Below are 17,866 nucleotides of genomic sequence, written 5' to 3' on the forward strand. Positions count from 1 at the left end.
CACTCCAGCCTGGGCAGTAAGAGCAAAACTCCATCTCAAAAAAAAAAAAAAAGAATGAAAATGGATCGGCCTGGGCAACATAGAGAGACGCTGTTTCTAAAAATATTTAACACTTAGCCTGGCGTGGTGGCACATGTCTGTAGTCCCAGCTACTTGGGAAGCTAAGGTGGCAGGATCACTTGAACCTGAGAGGTTGAGGCTGCAGTAAGCTATGGTCATGCCACTCCACTCTAGCCTTGGTGACGGATTGAGACCCTGTCTCAACAACGACAATAAAAGAATGAAAGTGAATGGATATTGTGATCATGGGTATAAATATTATAGCTATGGCAAAAATTGACGGATCACTTGGACACTTATGACACCATCTGTGGAGAAATCAATTTTCTCAAACTTTCGCAAAGCTTTTTATTGTGGGAGAAAACTTAGACTGATAGCATAATATGTTTTTCAGAATGTAAAATTGTGTGGCTGTGTTTTGGGTGTGTCGGCACATTTTTTTCTGCACAATTTTTGCTCTAGGAGAATAATGCCTTTCGAATGTACTCATGATTGGCACAGGTGGATGAAAATGGTTTGTCTCACTTAACCGACAATACTAATCACTGTAATAACAATTTTACCAGAAAATATAATTTGGCAGACATCTGTGATTAGTACATTAACACATTTCCTGGTTTATTCCCTAAGGCAATTATCACCAGACCATCATTTGTGTGATATCTAAATGCATTGTTTTCTCAGGATGAATTTCTTTTTAGACCTGAAAAATCACCTTGATTAAGTCACCTTACTTGCAATTAATTTGAAGTCTTCATTCATGATGAGGCAGGAGGGGGAGGTGAAAAATAGCCCTCCCCTCAATTCTAATTGAGCCCTAAGTCTCATCAGGTTTTTCTTGAGTTCTGCTTCTCTACTTCCAGCTCTATTCCCTCTCTGCAGGAGGATTCACACCTAGTCTCTGAGGCAGGGTGGGGATGCAGATATTGACACACATGCACACACACACACACCACTACCCTCCTCATTTCCCCTCCTCACAGGAACCTCTATGTAAAACTACCCCTTTCTCAAAAAGCAAATTTGTTAATAAGATAGAGAGCTCAGCTCTAGGCTGTTACATATATTTCCAGCCGAGATTTATACGTCCAACAGCCTCCCGGATTTGCCACCAGGATGTAAAATCTACAACCATCTCCAAGATACCATGCCCCAGCCTGAGCAATTCATGTGTCTCTCACTGCCCTAAATCCATCTATCCCTCTTCCCATCCCTCGAACACATATTTTTAGAGACAGGGTCTCACTCCCTTGCCCAGGCTGAGTGCAGTGGCACGATCACAGCTCACTGCAGCCTCAAACTCCTGGGCTCAAGTGATCCTCCCCCATCAGCCTTCTAAGTAACTGGTATTACAGGTTCACACCACCATGCCCAGCTAATTTTAATTTTTTTTTTTTTTTTGTAGACATCAGGTCTCGCTATATTTCCTAGGCTGGTCTTGAACTCCTGGCCTCAAGTGATCCTCCTGCCTTAGCCTCCCAAAGTGCTGGGATTACAGGCATGCTGTGCCCGGCCTATCCTATATTTTCTATCTCCAGCATCAGAGCTATGAACCAGTGTTTCTCTAGACCCTCCCTGTCGCTCTTTTCAGCCCCTGAACTGTCATTATGTCCAGTCATTTTTACTTCTCATTTCTGAGTCCTATTTGCCCTGTGTCACTGGACACATTGACTTCTGTGTTGCCTGCCTCTAATTCATTCTGCAGCGGGAGTATTTTGTTTGTTTGTTTTTGAGTCGAAGTCTCGCTCTTGTCCCCCAGGCTGGAGTGCAATGGCGTGATCTTGGCTCACTGCAACCTCTGCCGCCCGGGTTCAATTTTCTCCTGCCTCAGCCTCCCAAGTAGCTGGGATTACAGGTGCATGCAACCACGCCTGGCTAATTTTTGTATTTTTAGTAGAGACTGGGTTTCACCATGTTGGCCAGGCTGGTCTCGAACTCCGGACCTCAGGTGATCCACCCGTCTCAGCCTCCCAAAGTGCTGGGATTACAGGTGTGAGCCACCGCACCCAGCTGGGAGGTTTTTAAAATCCAGATTGGATTGATTCATTTCTCTGCTCACAATTCTTTTTTTTAGTTATCTTTTATTTTTATATTTCAAAAATGATCAGTTTTTTGGAGGTATAATTCACTTACAATAAACTGTACATATTTATAGTGTACATTTTAGTAAACTCTGGTTTATCTGTACACCATGGGAGCATCAGCACAATCAAGATTGTGCCCCTTTGAAATCTCCCTCCTGTCTACCCAATCCCAGTCTCCAAAGAGCCACCGTTCTGCTTTCTACCACTGTAGATAAGTTAGTATTTTCTAGAGTTTATATAAATGGAATTATATGCTATGTAATCTTTTTGTCTTCTTTTACTCAGCATAATTATTCCGAAAATCATCCATGTTGTTGCACTTATCAATTGTTCATTTCTTTTTTATTACTGGGTCGTATTCCCTGGTGTGAACGTTCCACAGCCTTTTTTTTTTTTTTTTTTTTTTTTTTTTTTTTTTTTTTTTTTGAGACGGAGTCTTACTCTGTCGCCCAGGCTGGAGTGCAGTGACGCGATCTCGGCTCACTGCAAGCTCCGCCTCCCAGTTTCACGCCATTCTCCCGCCTCAGCCTCCCGAGTAGCTGGGACTGCAGGCGCCCGCCACCACGCCCTGCTAATTTTTTTTTGTATTTTTAGTAGAGACGGGGTTTCACCGTGTTAGCCAGGATGGTCTCGATATCCTGACCTCGTGATCCGCCCACTTCGGCCTCCCAAAGTGCTGGGATTACAGGCGTGAGCCACCGCTCCCGGCCGTTCCACAGATTTTTTGACCTATTCACCTGTTGATGGACACTTGGGTTGTTTCCGGGTTTGGGCTGTTACAAATAAAGATGCTATGAACATTTGTGTATAAATGTATGGACATGTGGTTTCTTTTCTCTTGGGAAAATACCTATAAGTTAAATGGCTGAGCTATATGGTGCATGTATATTTATTTAACTTTTAAAAAAAGTCCTGCTAGAAATTCTTGTTCTTCTTGCTTCGAGGATAAAAATCTAAACTCTTTAGCACCACCTGCAGGGCCCTCCATGACCTGGCTTCTGCGCCAGCCTCCAGCCGCACTATCCTTTCCTGAGTCCTCCAGGCTTCCCCACGTGTTCTCCTGGGGCTCGCAAACTATCTCAGCACACTCAACTCATGTGTGACTTCTTGCCACTGTGTGCACACAGGGGTCACACAGCGTTTATCGCATGGGATTGTTTTTGTTAGATTACTGCTTCTGATGGCTTCACCTGTGGTACCAGAGAGCAGAGCCTGTAGTTTTCATCTTTGTACGTAAACTGCTTTTGTACATCCCATGTTTTCATTTGGAAAGTTTTCTTTTTTTCATTATAAATAATCATTAAAGCATCTTCGGAGGTGTTGGTGAAGGTGGTAGATTGAAGATATGGATCTAATTTTGTGCCTTCCTGAAAAACCACTAAAATGACAGTAAAGAGATTTAAAAAATAGTTTAAACCCACAGAGATAGGAAGAACAGAAAAAAAGACAATAATAGAACAATACTGGAGTTTAGGAAGCAGACAGACATGTGATAACTCACTTAACATGCCAAGGAAAGCTTAATTTGATTAGCAGTAGAGAAAACTGAGAACCACCCCTGATACCGCAGGATCCTTAAAATGCTCTGGAGCTGGTGGCTTGGTACCTCAGTAAGTCCTTCATCTTCATGAAGATTAAATTGATAGGCTGTTTGATATGAATACATGTGTTCAAAAGAGAGAAAAATGGCAGTGAGTTGAATAAATGATAATACGTGAACTCCTAGGAAATGAAAAAGTATGATAATTATTAACTCGGGGAAAAATAAAAAATTGTAATAGCTTAATATATGGCTCAGTTCTTCATAGAAGACACAGTCATTATACAGACATACATTTGGATATTGATATAATCCAAATTACAACATTAGTATTTTAAATAATTAATATATAATCACTGAACTGAAAGGAAATGTGGGCCGGGTGCGGTGGCTCACGCCTGTAATCCCAGCACTTTGGGAGGCTGAGGCGGGTGGATCACGAGGTCATGAGATCGAGACCATCCTGGCTAACATGGTGAAACCCCATCTCTACTAAAAATACAAAGAAATTAGCCGGGCGTGGTGGTGGGTGCCTGTAGTCCCAGCTACTCGGGAGGCTGAGGCAGGAGAATGGTGTGAACCCAGGTGGCGGAGCTTGCAGTGAGCCGAGATCGCGCCACCACACTCCAACCTGGGCAACAGAGCAAGACTCCGTCTCAAAAAAAAAAAAAAAAAGGAAATGTGAATGTGTAATTGGAGAGAGTGGCTGGTGGTCAAGGAGAATAGGAAAAGAGCTAAGTTTTTATCTTCCATAGTAAAAGTTAATTGAGACGGGCGTGGTGGCTTACGCCTATAATCCTAGCACTCTGGGAAGTCAAGGCAGGTGGATCACTTGAGCCCAGGAGTTTGAGATCAGCCTGGGCAACTCGAACCACGTGGGACCACATCTCTATTTAAAAAATAAAAAAAGTTAATTGAAAGGTCCAAACTGAAAAATCCTGAAGCACAATTCATTTAGCAACATAGAAAAAAAATTCCTCCAAAACAGCTAAAAGAATTAAAATATTTGCTTCTATAAGCAAATATTTCTTTTTTAGAAGGGTAAATGGGAGAGGAGACCCGAGTATTACTTGTTTTTAGCTTACACTAGATAAGCAGATAACTCTTTAAACTGCATGCACATATGACTGAGGTGGATGGTAACTTAGAGGGAAAAAAGAAAAGAAGAAAAACAATCTTTGGGAAAAAAGAAAAGAAGAAAAACAATCTTTGGGGGAAAAAAGATGAAGAAAAAGATCCCCTAGAGACCCACTTTAACTTTTGACTTATTTTCTTCCAGCTTTCCTCCCCCATCATTTGTGATTTGTTTTCCCCCTTTTGCCCTCCCTCCCCTCCCTGCCTTTCTTTCAACATTGCCATAATCATACTTTATATAAAATTGATAGCTAACTTGTTGAGCACTTAATCACACAGTAGACTTTGGGTTAATAAGTACTTTATATGCATTACTTTATTTGATCAACCTAATCATGAGTGATTTCTAAACTTATTGTATCATAATTATTTTCTTATTTTAGCATATGGTCTTCATAATCATCTTTTTTCATGGTATAATAATATTCCACACCATGGAATATTTATGTGTTCTTGAACTTATTAGACTTTTAAGTTGTTTTCTAGCTTTTGCTGCTATAAAAAACAATGTGGGGTGGGTGTGGTGGCTCATGCCTATAAATCCTAGGACTTTGGGAAGCTGCAGCAGGAGGATCACTTGAGCCCAGGAGTTCAAGATCAGCCTGGGCAACATAGTGAGATCCTGTCTCTAAATAGAAAAGTAAAACAAAAATAAAAAAATGGAAGAATATTGGGATTATATATATATATATTCTCTCCCAAAGCATCTTCATAAGGTTTATGCTTTTAGATTAAATTTTCAAGAAGTAAAACAACAACAACAAAAATTTCCAGAAGCAGAACTGCTGGGTCAAAGAGTATTAACATATTGCCAATCTTAAACATATTGCTTATCTTAAACTATCCAACTCACTTTTGCATCTTTTAAACTATCACGCCTCATGCAACTCTGAGATCAATATGAAGGAGAGAAGAGAGATTCACTGCTGTTTTAGAGACAAGATCATTGGGAGCTAAGTTTCCAAGCTCATACAGTTGGAACAATGGCCAGAAGTAAAATGCATGTTTCTCTGCTTTCTGTTGATTTCTTTTCCCACTGTGCCCCCCAAATGACATGAAACTCAGGCTGAACTGTCTCTGCTACTTCCCTTCCCAGACATCTTAGCCTTTACCTATTAGGGCTTCTCTGCCACAGTCCTTTTTCCATTTGCTGGGGGCTTTCCTGTGTTAGAAGGAAAGTAAGACCTCTCTAGCAGCCCAAGGACCTCGCATCATGAAACCTTCTAAGTTTGGGAATCTTCTATTGCCCTCCCCGCCAAAACAAAAATGGAAAAAAAATTTTTTAAAAAGGAAACCTTCTAAGTCTCAAGAGGAGAAAGTGTGAGACAAGGAAAAGAAGAGAGAAACAGAGTAAGCTCAGTTAGAATCTGGGACAGGAGCCATGAAAAGATGCACAAGGAGCAAACAGGAGAAAACTGTGGTTTTGGAGGACTTCAGCGCTTAAGATTAAATGTTTGAGCTGAAGACAATAAAGGGATTTGACTGGGAGAGTGTTAGGGTCATGGTATGGCCTTTCTGTACTCAGATATATTTGGAACTGTCTTGAACTGTTAAATCTACTTTGTGATGTCAATTCACTTTTCAAGATAAAACTAAACAATAATTTGTGTTTTCTCTTTTCTTTTTCTTTTTCAAATGAATAACCAAAGTAACTTCAAATGAGCATTTTTCAACTGCAGAAGAAAGTGAGTCCTGCTTTGCCCAACCAAAGCCACATGCACTGGGAAGAGAATCTACTGTTGATGGCAATGTACAAAGGGAAAGCCGTCCTCCCTTACAAAAGCTCAAGGTTTCAGCAGAGCCTACAGCTAATGGTGTTAAACCCCTCCAAGAACAGCCCCTGGCCAAGGACGTAGCCCCTGGAAGGGATGCCACAGACCAATCAGGGTCCACAGAAAAGACTCAGCCTGGAGAGGGACTGGAGGAATCTGGGCCGCCTCAACCAGGTGGCAAAGAGGATGCCCCAGCAGCAGAAGGAAAGAAGAAAGATGCAGGAGCAGGGACAGAGGCCGAGTCTCTAAAAGGAAATGCTGAAGCTCAGCCTTTAGGACCAGAAGCCAAGGGTCAGCCTTTGCAGGCAGCAGTAGAGAAGGACTCTCTCAGAGCAGTGGAGGTCACTGAGAATCCACAAACTGCTGCAGAGATGAAGCCTCTAGGAACAACTGAGAACGTTCTGACTCTGCAAATAGCTGGAGAGCTACAACCTCAGGGCACAGTGGGAAAGGATGAGCAGGCCCCGCTTCTAGAAACAATTTCCAAAGAGAATGAATCTCCAGAAATATTGGAAGGAAGTCAGTTTGTGGAAACAGCTGAAGAGCAGCAACTTCAGGCAACATTGGGAAAAGAGGAGCAGCCCCAGCTTCTAGAAAGAATTCCCAAAGAGAATGTAACACCAGAAGTATTGGACAGAAGTCAGCTTGTGGAAAAGCCTGTTATGAATGATCCATTCCATAAAACTCCTGAAGGTCCAGGAAACATGGAGCAGATTCAACCTGAAGGAATAGTTGGAAGCATGGAGCATCCAGCACGAAATGTAGAGGCAGGAGCATATGTGGAAATGATCAGGAACATCCATACTAATGAAGAGGACCAACGCATTGAAGGTAAAAGTTATGCTGGCAAACCTGGATGTTTAGATGTGCTCCATAGGAGACCAGCTCTGGGGAGTGGGATGGGGTGACTGACACACAGTCCCTGAAGTCACTTTCAGGTGGTTGAAGTTCGTTTGACCAAACCAAAAAGGCTTCTGTGCCTGGGAAAGAGGCATTCTATTAATGCTCAGTTTGTCAGCAAAACTTTTCCGAAACATCATCTCTGTCCAAAATTTTAACCTAGTGTTTAAATAGTGTCTAACATTGAAGGCAACATGTGAAACTTTCTGAATTTTTCCAAGTTGACACTTCATCAGGCCCCATGTATGAAATCAGGATCCAAAGTAAAGGTGAATAGATGATTACTGGAGGAATTCACCTTCCAATGAAATGATATATACATAATGGATCTTAGAATGTTATTTTCATCTTTGTGAAGCTTATCTTAGAAAATGACTGTCAGGACAGGGTGCAGTGGCTCACACCTGTAATCCCAGCACTTCAGGAGGCAGAGGTGGGAGGATAGCTTGAGCCCAGCAGTTCATGACCTGCCTGGGCAACATAGTGAGACCTTGTTCTCCAGAAAAAAAAAAAAAAAGAAAGAAAAAAGGAAAAAGAAAATGACTGTCAGTCTGCTCTTGTTCTTCTGCAGTTTTAAAATCTGTATGAGAAGACCAGAGAAAATGTACTATGTCTTAGCATATGGTGTTTTAAAATTTTAACTGTATTTTACCAGCATAAAACAAATGATGTTTACAGTGTTCTTTATTGGTGTTATAATTTAAAAAAATATTTTCTTCTGGGGTATGATTTACATTTTGGTAAATTTTAGCTTCACAGTTCAGTATACTTAAGTGAAGCATTCATTATAATCATCCATCTGTTTTTGTTTAATTCTTTCATTTATTTATTTTATTTAATTAATTTATTTATTTTTTGAGATGGAGTCTTGCTCTGTTGCCCAGGCTGGAGTGCAGTGAAGTGATCTCGGCTCACTGCAACCTCCACCTTCTGCGTTCAAGCGATTCTCCCGCCTCAGCCTCCTGAGTAGCTGGGACTACAGGCGCACACCACCATGCCCGGCTAGTTTTTGTATTTTTAGTAGAGACGGGGTTTCACCACATTGGCCAGGCTGGTCTCCAGCTCCTGACCTCATGATCCACCCGCCTCGGCCTCCCAAAGTGCCGGGATTACAGGCATGAGCCACCATGTCTGGCCAATTCTTTCATTTATTAACTCAGCATTTTTTGGCATGCCTAAACATATGCTAGGTGCTGAGATGCAGACTGAGGAAGAGATAGTCTCTGTCCTCAAGGGGCTCACTGTCTAGTGTGGGAAGGCAGGATGTGCGTGCATCACCATAGTCTGTTGTGGGAACTGCTTTCCTAAGAATGTGTAAGAAGGGCCCTGGGAACAACTTGGGAGAGGCAAATAAAAGCAGGTAGTTTTTACATCAGGATTGGCAAACTCAAAAGTCTTTAGGCCTAGGATACTGAAAATGAGTGAGGTGAAGGACACATGTCATACTGTGGGAGCCCAGGGGACCTTGGCAAACAGGAGAGCACAGCCTTGTCAAAAGAGGAAGCTCCGCACAGCTCCAGCCATGGAACTAGGGCCAATGTTGCCAAAGCCAACTTCTCAGGGAAACAGGGTTTCCTGCAAGTGTGTGCAATGTCCAGACTTGTTAGTGTTGGCTGTCTGTAAATGTTTAACGATTGTTTTTAAACACATAATGGCCAAGCCAGACAGGTTTAGGGGCACCCCTGGACCACCCTTTGATTTAGATACAAATTAGACTTTCTTTTTCTTTCTTTTTCTTTTTCTTTCTTTCTTTCTTTCTTTCTTTCTTTCTTTCTTTCTTTCTTTCTTTCTTTCTTTCTTTCCTTTCTTTCTTTCTTTCTTCCTTTCTTTCTTTCTTCCTTTCTTTCTTTCTTCTTTCTTTCTTTTTTCTTTCTTTTTCTTCTCTCTCTCTCTCCCCTTCCTTCCTTCCTTCCTTCCTTCCTTCCTTTCGAGACAAGATCTTCAAGCTGGAGTGCAGTGATGCAATCACAGCTCACTATAATCTCCAACTCCTGGACTGAAGGGATCCTCTTGCCCCAGCTCTCAAGTAGCTAGGACTACAGGAATGTGCCACCATGCCTGGCTAATTTTTTTTTCTTTTAAAAAATTATTACTTTTGAGACAGAGTCTTGCTCTGTTACTCAGGCTGGAGTGCAGTGGTATTCTTAGCTCATTGTAACTTCTGCCTCCCAGCTCAATCCATTCTCCCTCCTCGGCCTCCTGAGTAGCTGGGCGCCACCATCCCTGGTTAATTTTTGTATTTTTTGTAGAAACAAGGTTTTACCATGTTGGCCAGGCCGGTCTCAGACCCTAGGCTCAAGCAATCTGCCTGCCTCAGCTTTCCAAATTGCTGGGATTATAGGCGTGAGCCACCACGCCCAGCTGTCCAGCTAATTTTTGAAAAATATTTTGTAAAGACAGGAGGTCTTGTTGCCCAGGCTGGTCTTGAACTCCTGGCCTCAAGTGATCCTCTTGCCTCAGCTTGCCAAAGCATTGGGATTACAGGTGGGAACCATCACACCTGGCCATGAACTTTCTATTATAATCTGTTCTACCACCATTTCTTTGGTAATTTTGCATCCTGATTTTATAGAGAGCATTTCTTTCATAAGAGTATGCCAAGACTCGAGATGTTAATTGACTCGACATTTCAGCCATTCAGAGGCTCTGAGAGAATCGAGATGATTACTTTTCTTTTCCTTTTTTTTTTTTTTTTGAGACAGAGTCTCGTTCTGTCGCCCAGACTGGAGTGCAGTGGCGTGATCTCAGCTCACTGCAACTTCTGCCTCCCGGCTTCAAGTGATTCTCTTGCCTCAGCCCCCCGAGTAGCTGGGATTACAGGCTTGTGCCACCATGCCTAGCTAATTTTTGTATTTTTAGTAGAGACGGGGTTTCATTACTTTGGGCTAGGCTCCTGAACTCCTGACCTCAGGCAATCCGCCTTCCTTGGCCTCCCAATGTGTTGGATTACAGGTGTTAGCCACGGTGCCCAGCTGAGATGATTACTTTTCTTGATACCCCCAGAGAAACTTACTGCTTAGACCTGAAGATCAAGAACTGCCCCCATTGGAGACAAACTGTGGGATAATTTATGTTAATTCTAAATAAATGTCTCTTAGTATCTCCTTTGGTTACTTTTCCAGGTGAGACAGGGGAAAAGGTGGAAACAGACATGGAGAATGAGAAAGTGAGTGAAGGGGCTGAAACCAAAGAAGAAGAAACAGGAGAAGTGGTGGACCTTTCAGCAGCCACATAGATAGAAGAGTGAACCGACACAGTGTGTTATCATAGAGGAGACAAAAATGGTAGTGAAGCTTGTGGTTATGTATCTTATCTTTCTACATTTACATGTTTTCTGTAAGGAGTGTGGTTATAGAGAGACTGTTGGAACCATGAGAAGGATGTTTCTGTGTTCTTGATTATATTGTTCTGCAAAACTGCTAAGCCATGAACAGTTTTCTTAGCTACTTAGAATGGTTATACATTTAAAAGTATAAAAACCAAAGCCAATAAAAATGATGTGATTATTTAAGAGTGTGAGGGTGACTTTCTTCATTGTGGCCATGGGGCCATTCAGTATAGAAAATGAGACCCTAAAAAGAAAGTGTAAACCTTTAGGTACAAGTGGCTAGAGAAAGGAGTTAGCAAATTTTAGGGAACTCACAATAATAAAGTCACACAATTATAATCATGATGGAATGAGAATGAACAACAGCAAAAATAATAGGATGAACTATACCAAATATTTCTGTCTTGTTATAGAATTCAGAGCTGATAAGAACCTTAGGAAGTATGTCATCTACACATTTGCTCTCCTTTAAGCTTGTCAACTACCACAGATCCTTATTTATCATGGAATATTAAATATGTTAACAGAATCCTTTGCAAAGGATTGCAACTCTGGTGCTATCACAAGGTTAGACATTTTTCATGATGAAAGGCTACACATTTTCCATGTGCCATTTCGAATCAGCTGTTGATTTTATACTCACATGAGGTTTTTCAATTGGTGTTATCCTTTTGAATAACATTAAAAGTATTTTTAATTAATTCACTTTTAAATGTATTTTGGAGACAATAAACAGCAAGGATTAAAACCTAGATTGTTGCTTATGTAGAGTCTATTCCTGGGCTCTACTCTTTTTTTCTTTTTTTTTTGGACATGGAGTCTTGCTCCGTCACCTAGGCTGGCGTGCAGTGGTGCGATCTCGGCTCACTGCAACCTCTGCCTCCTGGGATCAAACAATTCTCCTGCCTTAGCCTCCCGAGTAGCTAGGATTACAGGTGCTTGCTACCATGCCCAGATAATTTTTGTATTTTTGGTACAGATGGGAATTCACTATGCTGGCCAGGCAGGTCTTGAACTCCTGACCTTGTGATCCGCCTCCCAAAGTGCTGGGATTACATGTGTGAGCCATTGCACCTGGCCACTCTATTCTTTTTTAGATGACTGCAATTTAATGGTAGGCTTTAGTGATGGAAAAAGGCTAAGAAATCAAGATTTTAGAAGCATTTATGAGATTTCTTTAGTGATGCACCACAGAGTCAGTTTTTGAGAATTCTTCTGAAGTTGGCAAGGGATTTTGGCAAATGATTGTATGTGAATAATAAAAATAATAGCTAACTTGCCTACCAGTGAGTGTCTTGTGTGTTTGAGTATCAGAATAGAATTCTGGAAACATTTTGTTTATTTATCTTGTTTGTAAATAGGTATTTTTCTTTTTTAAAAAAATTCCTACTATTTCCTAAGTAAATATGTATTTTTAAGGTAACTGCTCAGATGAATTAACTAGTCTCTTTATTTTTATTTTTTATTTTTTGAGACAGGGTCTTGCTCTGTTGCCCAGGCTGCAGTGTAGTGGTGTGATCATGGCTGACTGCAAACTTGACTTCCTGGGCTCAAGCAATCCTCCCACCTCACCTCTCCTGAGTAGCTGGGACTACAGGCATGTGCCACCATGCCGGGCTAATTTTTGTATTTTTAGTAGAGACAGGGTTTCACCATGTTGCCCAGGCTGGTCTCGAACTCTTGAGCTCAAGCAATTCACCTGTCTCAGTCTCCCAAAGTGCTGGGACTACAGGCGTGAGCCACCCGGCCTAACTAGTCTCTTACTTTAGCTTCTACATTAAAATAACTACTAAGATGGCCTATAATTAATTATAAGAATATAGGATACAGGGAAAAACATATTCTCTTGATTCTGATTTTAATATTAATTTATGTTCTGACTGTAAAGTGCCGAGGAAGACAATAAAAGGAGTTCCCTGAGGAGATGACATCATCCTTTCTGCAAAGTAAAGGCACTGGATTGTGATTGCATTGAAGGCAAGCACTGTGTTTTATGTATTTTTGAATTCAGGCATTTAGCTCCTTTAATGGAATGTGGTACATACTTGATAAATATTTGTTGAATCAGTAAATGAATAACAAATACCAAGGAGTCCCATTTATACTTAATTCATTAAAAAATAATACATATAAAATATAAATTTGGCTGGGCATGGTGGCTCACGCCTGTAATCCCAGCACTTTGGGAGGCCAAGGCGGTGGATCTCTTGAGTCCAGGAGTTCAAGACCAGCCTGGGCAACACGGTGAGACCCCATCTCTACAAAAAATATAAAAAATTAGCTGGGCATGATGCCATGTGCCTGTAGTCCCAGCTACTCAGGAGGCTGAGACTCAAATCTTTTATTTTCATAAAATTTTGGAAATTTATAAAAATTTCTGGTACTTTCTCTACTTTTGTCTTTATTCTTTAATGTGGTAACTAAAACACTTTTGGAAACTTTTTTTTATTCTTTTAGATAATATTCAGTTTTAACATTAAAAACCTATAAGGAAAATTTAAATATTTCACAATATCTGAACATTCCAAAATTTAAATATTCCATCAAAATAACCTGTTAATTTTAAAAAGTAATAAATATCTATGGTAAAAGTGAAATATAGAAGGGTATAAAATAGGTAGTGAAGTTTCCTTCCCATATCCTTTAGTCCTTCCATGAAAAAATAATATTTCTTGTGTATACTTCCAGAAAAAAAGGTATATGTATATACCAGGCTATATGTATATGCTAAAATATAAGTGTATATTTACATATCTACATTTTGACTTTTTTATAGATGGGGTCTTGCTATGTTGTCTATGCTGGTCTCAAATTCTTGGCCTCAGATGATTCTTCTGCCTGGGTCTCCCAAAGTGCTAGAATTACAGGCATGAGCCACCACGCTCAGTCTACATATCCACATTTTAAAACACAAATGACAATTTACATAGCCCCTGTACTGTGAAGACTGCATGTAAAACCACTGCTTGATCCTTTCCTATGTTAGAAATTTTTCCTTTTGCCCAAGACTGAGTCTTAACAGAGCAAAATGTATTCTGATCATAGGTCCCCAGACCCTGAAAGAAGATTACCGGTTTTGCCCTCAGATTCAAAATGCACAAGATGGACAAAAGGCTTGAGTTGTTCATAGAGAAACTGCCAGCAGGGCTGGATTTTTCTATCCCTGGGGTGCTGTGCAACCACTTTGTAGTCCAGTTGTGTTCTTTTAATTAAGATAACTTCATTATTTCTGTACCTGATGTACCTAACTGGGATGGAAATGAACAAATTTCCCAACTCTCATTCTTGGGAGTGAACATTTGCATTTACCAGCAGTGGGTGCCAGTTTGCAAATCTAGGAAATACCCAGACCAGACTCAAATTCTTGGCCAGAAGTGCCAACCCCCTGAGGCACCCACAGGGTAGAAATGTGTAGTCAATGGCTGGGTGTGGTGGCCCATACCTGTAATCCCAGCCCTTTGGGAGGCCAAGTCAGGAAAATCACTTGAGCCCAGGAGTTCGGGACCAGCCTGGGCAATATAGGGAGACCCTGTCTCTACATTAAATAAATAAATAAATTATTTTATTTATTTATTTTTTTAAAAGAAGAAATGTGCGGTCAACCTATTATATTACCTTACTGCTTTTTCCATTTAGACTGTGGAGTAAAAGCTCTTACCATATTTTGAGCAGTCAAAACACCCACACCACTCTGAACAAATGCTTTATTCCACATTGGGCCTTGAATTAAGAATTGCTTAATTAAGAAAATGTTTCTTTCCACATTTAACTAATCAAAGAATGTTGGATGGTCATGGTAAAATAATCCTAGTAGGGTTTACAATGTACTCTTTTGGCAAATACAATAGCTTGTTAGAGATGGCAAATATCTTTTTTTTTTTTTTTTGGTCATCCAGGCTGGAGTGCAGTGGTGTGCTCTGGTCACTGCAACCTCTGCCTCCCAGTTTCAAGTGATTCTCCTGCTTCAGCCTCCTGAGTAGCTGGGATTACAGGCAGGCGCCACCACGCCTGGCTAATGTTTGCATTTTTAGTAGAGACAGGATCTTACTATGTTGGCCAGGCTGGTCTTGAACTCCTGAGCTTAAGCAATTCTCCTGCCTTGGCCTCCCAAAGTGCTGGGATTACAGGCTGAACCCCTGCACCCGGCTGAGTATCCTATTTTTATGAAGATAGTTTGGTGATCCAATTCCGAATTCTCTTTCACAAAGGCCAGCGATGTGGACATCATAAAGCCATTCATTTGCCCACACACATTTGTAAGGTAAAAGGAGAATGACCCTTCCCTTCTTCTTTCTTCCCACACCAGATAGCAAGGCATGCTGTGTTTGAAATGTTGAAAGCATTTGCTTATAAGATGTCATTACATCTAAAACTATGTCAGCTTTTCACCTCTCCAGAGTTTATAAACTTATGAGTGTTTGGTTATAATCTCAAGGCTTTAATTGCCTATGCAGAATTGGTGTAATTTTAGAGAGCAGCTGACAAGTATGGAATTTCCCTTCCAGTTCCTTTTAGTATCAACAAAAGTTGGCATTAGTAATCCATGTACAGGCAAATTGCAGGCTTTTTGCTTTACTGGTCAGTACCACCACTCAGCACATTTATTGGGGAACATTTGAGTTGTTAAAAGTTAACAACCATATCATTATTCTTGTGCCTAATGAAAGAGGTCTCTGGACATCAAAGCCAGGGTTTAATAACTCCCAAAGGTAGAAGAAAGGCCAACCTATATTATTCTAAAATACTCCTTCGGTTTAATAATGTGCTACTGAAATTAATAAACATGCTACTTCCATCCACCACTGCGGACAGAGGTCTGCAAACCTCACTAATTTCCAGAAAAAGATTTCTGAGAAACCAACTGGGGATACCAATTTTGTTTTGAGATCTGCCTCATTTTGTTTTCTCATAGAATATAGACATTTCTAAAATTTCTTTTCTTTTCTTTTCTTTTTTTTTTTGAGACAGAGTCTTGCTCTATCTCCCAGGCTGGAGTGCAATGGCATGATCTCGGCTCACTGCAACCTTCACTTCGTGAGTTCAAGCCATTCTCCTGCCTCAGCCTCCCAAGTAGCTGGGACTACAGGCATGTACCACCAGGCCCGATTAATTTTTGTATTTTTAGTAGCGAGGGGTTTCACCATGTTGGTCAGGCTGGTCTCGAAATCCTGACCTCGAGTGATCTGCCTGCCTCAGCCTCCCAAAGTGCTGGGGTTACAGGCATAAGACACCACGCCTGGCCTTAAAATTTCTTAATAAAAGTAAGTATGGCGATTCATACTATCACATAAATTTAAAATGATGCATGTTGTATTGAATTGATTTGTGTGATTCTAAACACTTTTTTTTTTTTTTTTTAGACAGAGTCCCACTCTGTCACCCAGGCTGGAGTGCAGTGGCTCCAGCAACTTCTGCCGCCTGGGTTCAAGTCATTCTCCTGCCTCAGCCTCCCGAGTAGCTGGGACTACAGGTGCACGCCACTACACCCACCTAATTTTTGTATTTTTAGTAGAGACGGGGTCTCACCAAGTTGGCCAGGCTAGTCTCGGACTCCCAACTTCAGGTGATCCGCCCGCCTTGGCCTCCCAAAGTGCTGGGATTACAGGCATGAGCCACCACACCCAGCCCTGATTCTTTTTTTTTTTTTTTTTTTTTTTTTTTGAGATGGAGTTTCACCCTTGTAACCCAGGCTGGAGTGCAGTGGTGCGATCTCAGCTCACTGCAACCTCCGCCTCCCGGGTTCAAGCGATTCTCCTGCCTCAGCCTCCTGAGTAGCTGGGATTATAGCCTCTAAACACTTTTAAAAGAGTCATTTTGGCTGGGCACGGTGGCTCACGCCTGTAATCCCAGCACTTTGGGTGGCCGAGGCAGGCAGATCACGAGGTCAGGAGTTCCAGACCAGCCTGGCCAACATGGTGAAACCCCGTCTCTACTAAAAATACAAAAATTAGCTGAGTGTGATGTCGGGCACCTGTATCGGGAGGCTGAGGCAGGAGAATCGTTTGAACCCAGGAGGCGGAGGTTGGAGTGAGCTGAGATGCGCCACTGCACTCCAGCCTGGGCGACAGGGTGAGACTCCATTTCAAAAAAGAAAAAAAAAGAGTCGTTCAATGACAAGAGAAGAGGCTTTCCATGGCAGCTGTACTGTTGTAGAGTAGCTTTGGGTTGGAGAGAGGGTTTGGGGCCCAGCACCTCACTAGAAAGTCACAAGGCCCAATGGTGACTTTTCCAACCACCACCACACCCTTAGCAGTTCAGTGGAGAACAAAGTAATAGTGATTTCAGATAGCAGTTATTTAGTGGATCAGTATAGATTATCTTCAAGTTTCTGGATATAAGAGTTTTTAAACAACATTTTTTTGGTGTTCTTGGCGGGGGTAGAAATAACACTTTCTGCCTAGGTACTTATATGTAACAGAATGACTATTTTAGGCAATAATTACAAAAGAAGGATGTTATTAAAATAATTACTTTTTTCTTAGTATAAAACAATACATGTTCACTGTAGAAACTTCAGAAAATATAAACTTTAAAAGATGAAATATTACCCATAATTCATCAAAGATGATCACTGTTAGTATGTTGATGGACATGAGGGATTATTTTTTTAATTGCAAAACTTGTTGCAATAACAAGTTAGTCAAAGCACAACTATCAATAGAATTTTGAGTCTGTTGAGTCAATGAGTCAGCACTTAATCCATTGGAGATAATAGGTCATAGAGAATGTTCCAGTAATTCTTGCTATATTCATAAACATTGATTAGTGCTGCAGAGTAAGCAACTCTGCCTAAGCACATTAGCACTTAGCTGACCACAATTTATGATTTATGCCAGATGAATAATTCACTGAAATGGAATCCTTTATTTGGAGTTATTTTTCATGCTTTCCAATTGCTAAACACATGGCAGAAGTGAGAAAAATTGTAAGCTCTTCTGAGGATAGGAAAGTTAGTTCAAACTTCATTCTCCTCCCCTAAGTCTAGTACAAGTTTGTCATTCTGTAAGTATTTGTTGGTAACAAATGCTCTTTTTTCTTATGTAATCAT

At 41.0% G+C, this 17,866-nt stretch overlaps 1 protein-coding gene across 2 annotated transcripts in view, besides 1 other annotated feature; it reads left to right on the forward strand.

Annotated features, from left to right (window-relative positions):
• The window catches only part of ERICH5 (glutamate rich 5), a 29,042-nt gene extending 18,041 nt beyond the window's left edge, over positions 1–11,001 (forward strand). The window contains exons 2-3 of one of the 2 annotated variants that reach the window (NM_173549.3): positions 6,468–7,421; positions 10,613–11,001. In NM_173549.3, coding sequence (NP_775820.2) covers positions 6,468–7,421; positions 10,613–10,725 — 1,067 coding nt within the window. In that variant the 3' untranslated portion in view covers positions 10,726–11,001. The remainder of the gene's footprint in view (positions 1–6,467; positions 7,422–10,612) is intronic. The other variant, NM_001170806.2, reaches the window with a different exon arrangement.
• Positions 3,337–3,386: an enhancer, noted in NCBI's record as "active region_27676". NCBI's record gives its function as "activates an Ori minimal core promoter by ATAC-STARR-seq in GM12878 lymphoblastoid cells {active_cell/tissue: GM12878}" and the evidence as "EXISTENCE:reporter gene assay evidence [ECO:0000049][PMID:35858748]".
• Positions 11,002–17,866: the final 6,865 nt, after the last annotated feature.

Source organism: Homo sapiens, chromosome 8 (genome assembly GCF_000001405.40).
Source record: "Homo sapiens chromosome 8, GRCh38.p14 Primary Assembly".
Lineage (NCBI taxonomy): Eukaryota > Metazoa > Chordata > Mammalia > Primates > Hominidae > Homo > Homo sapiens.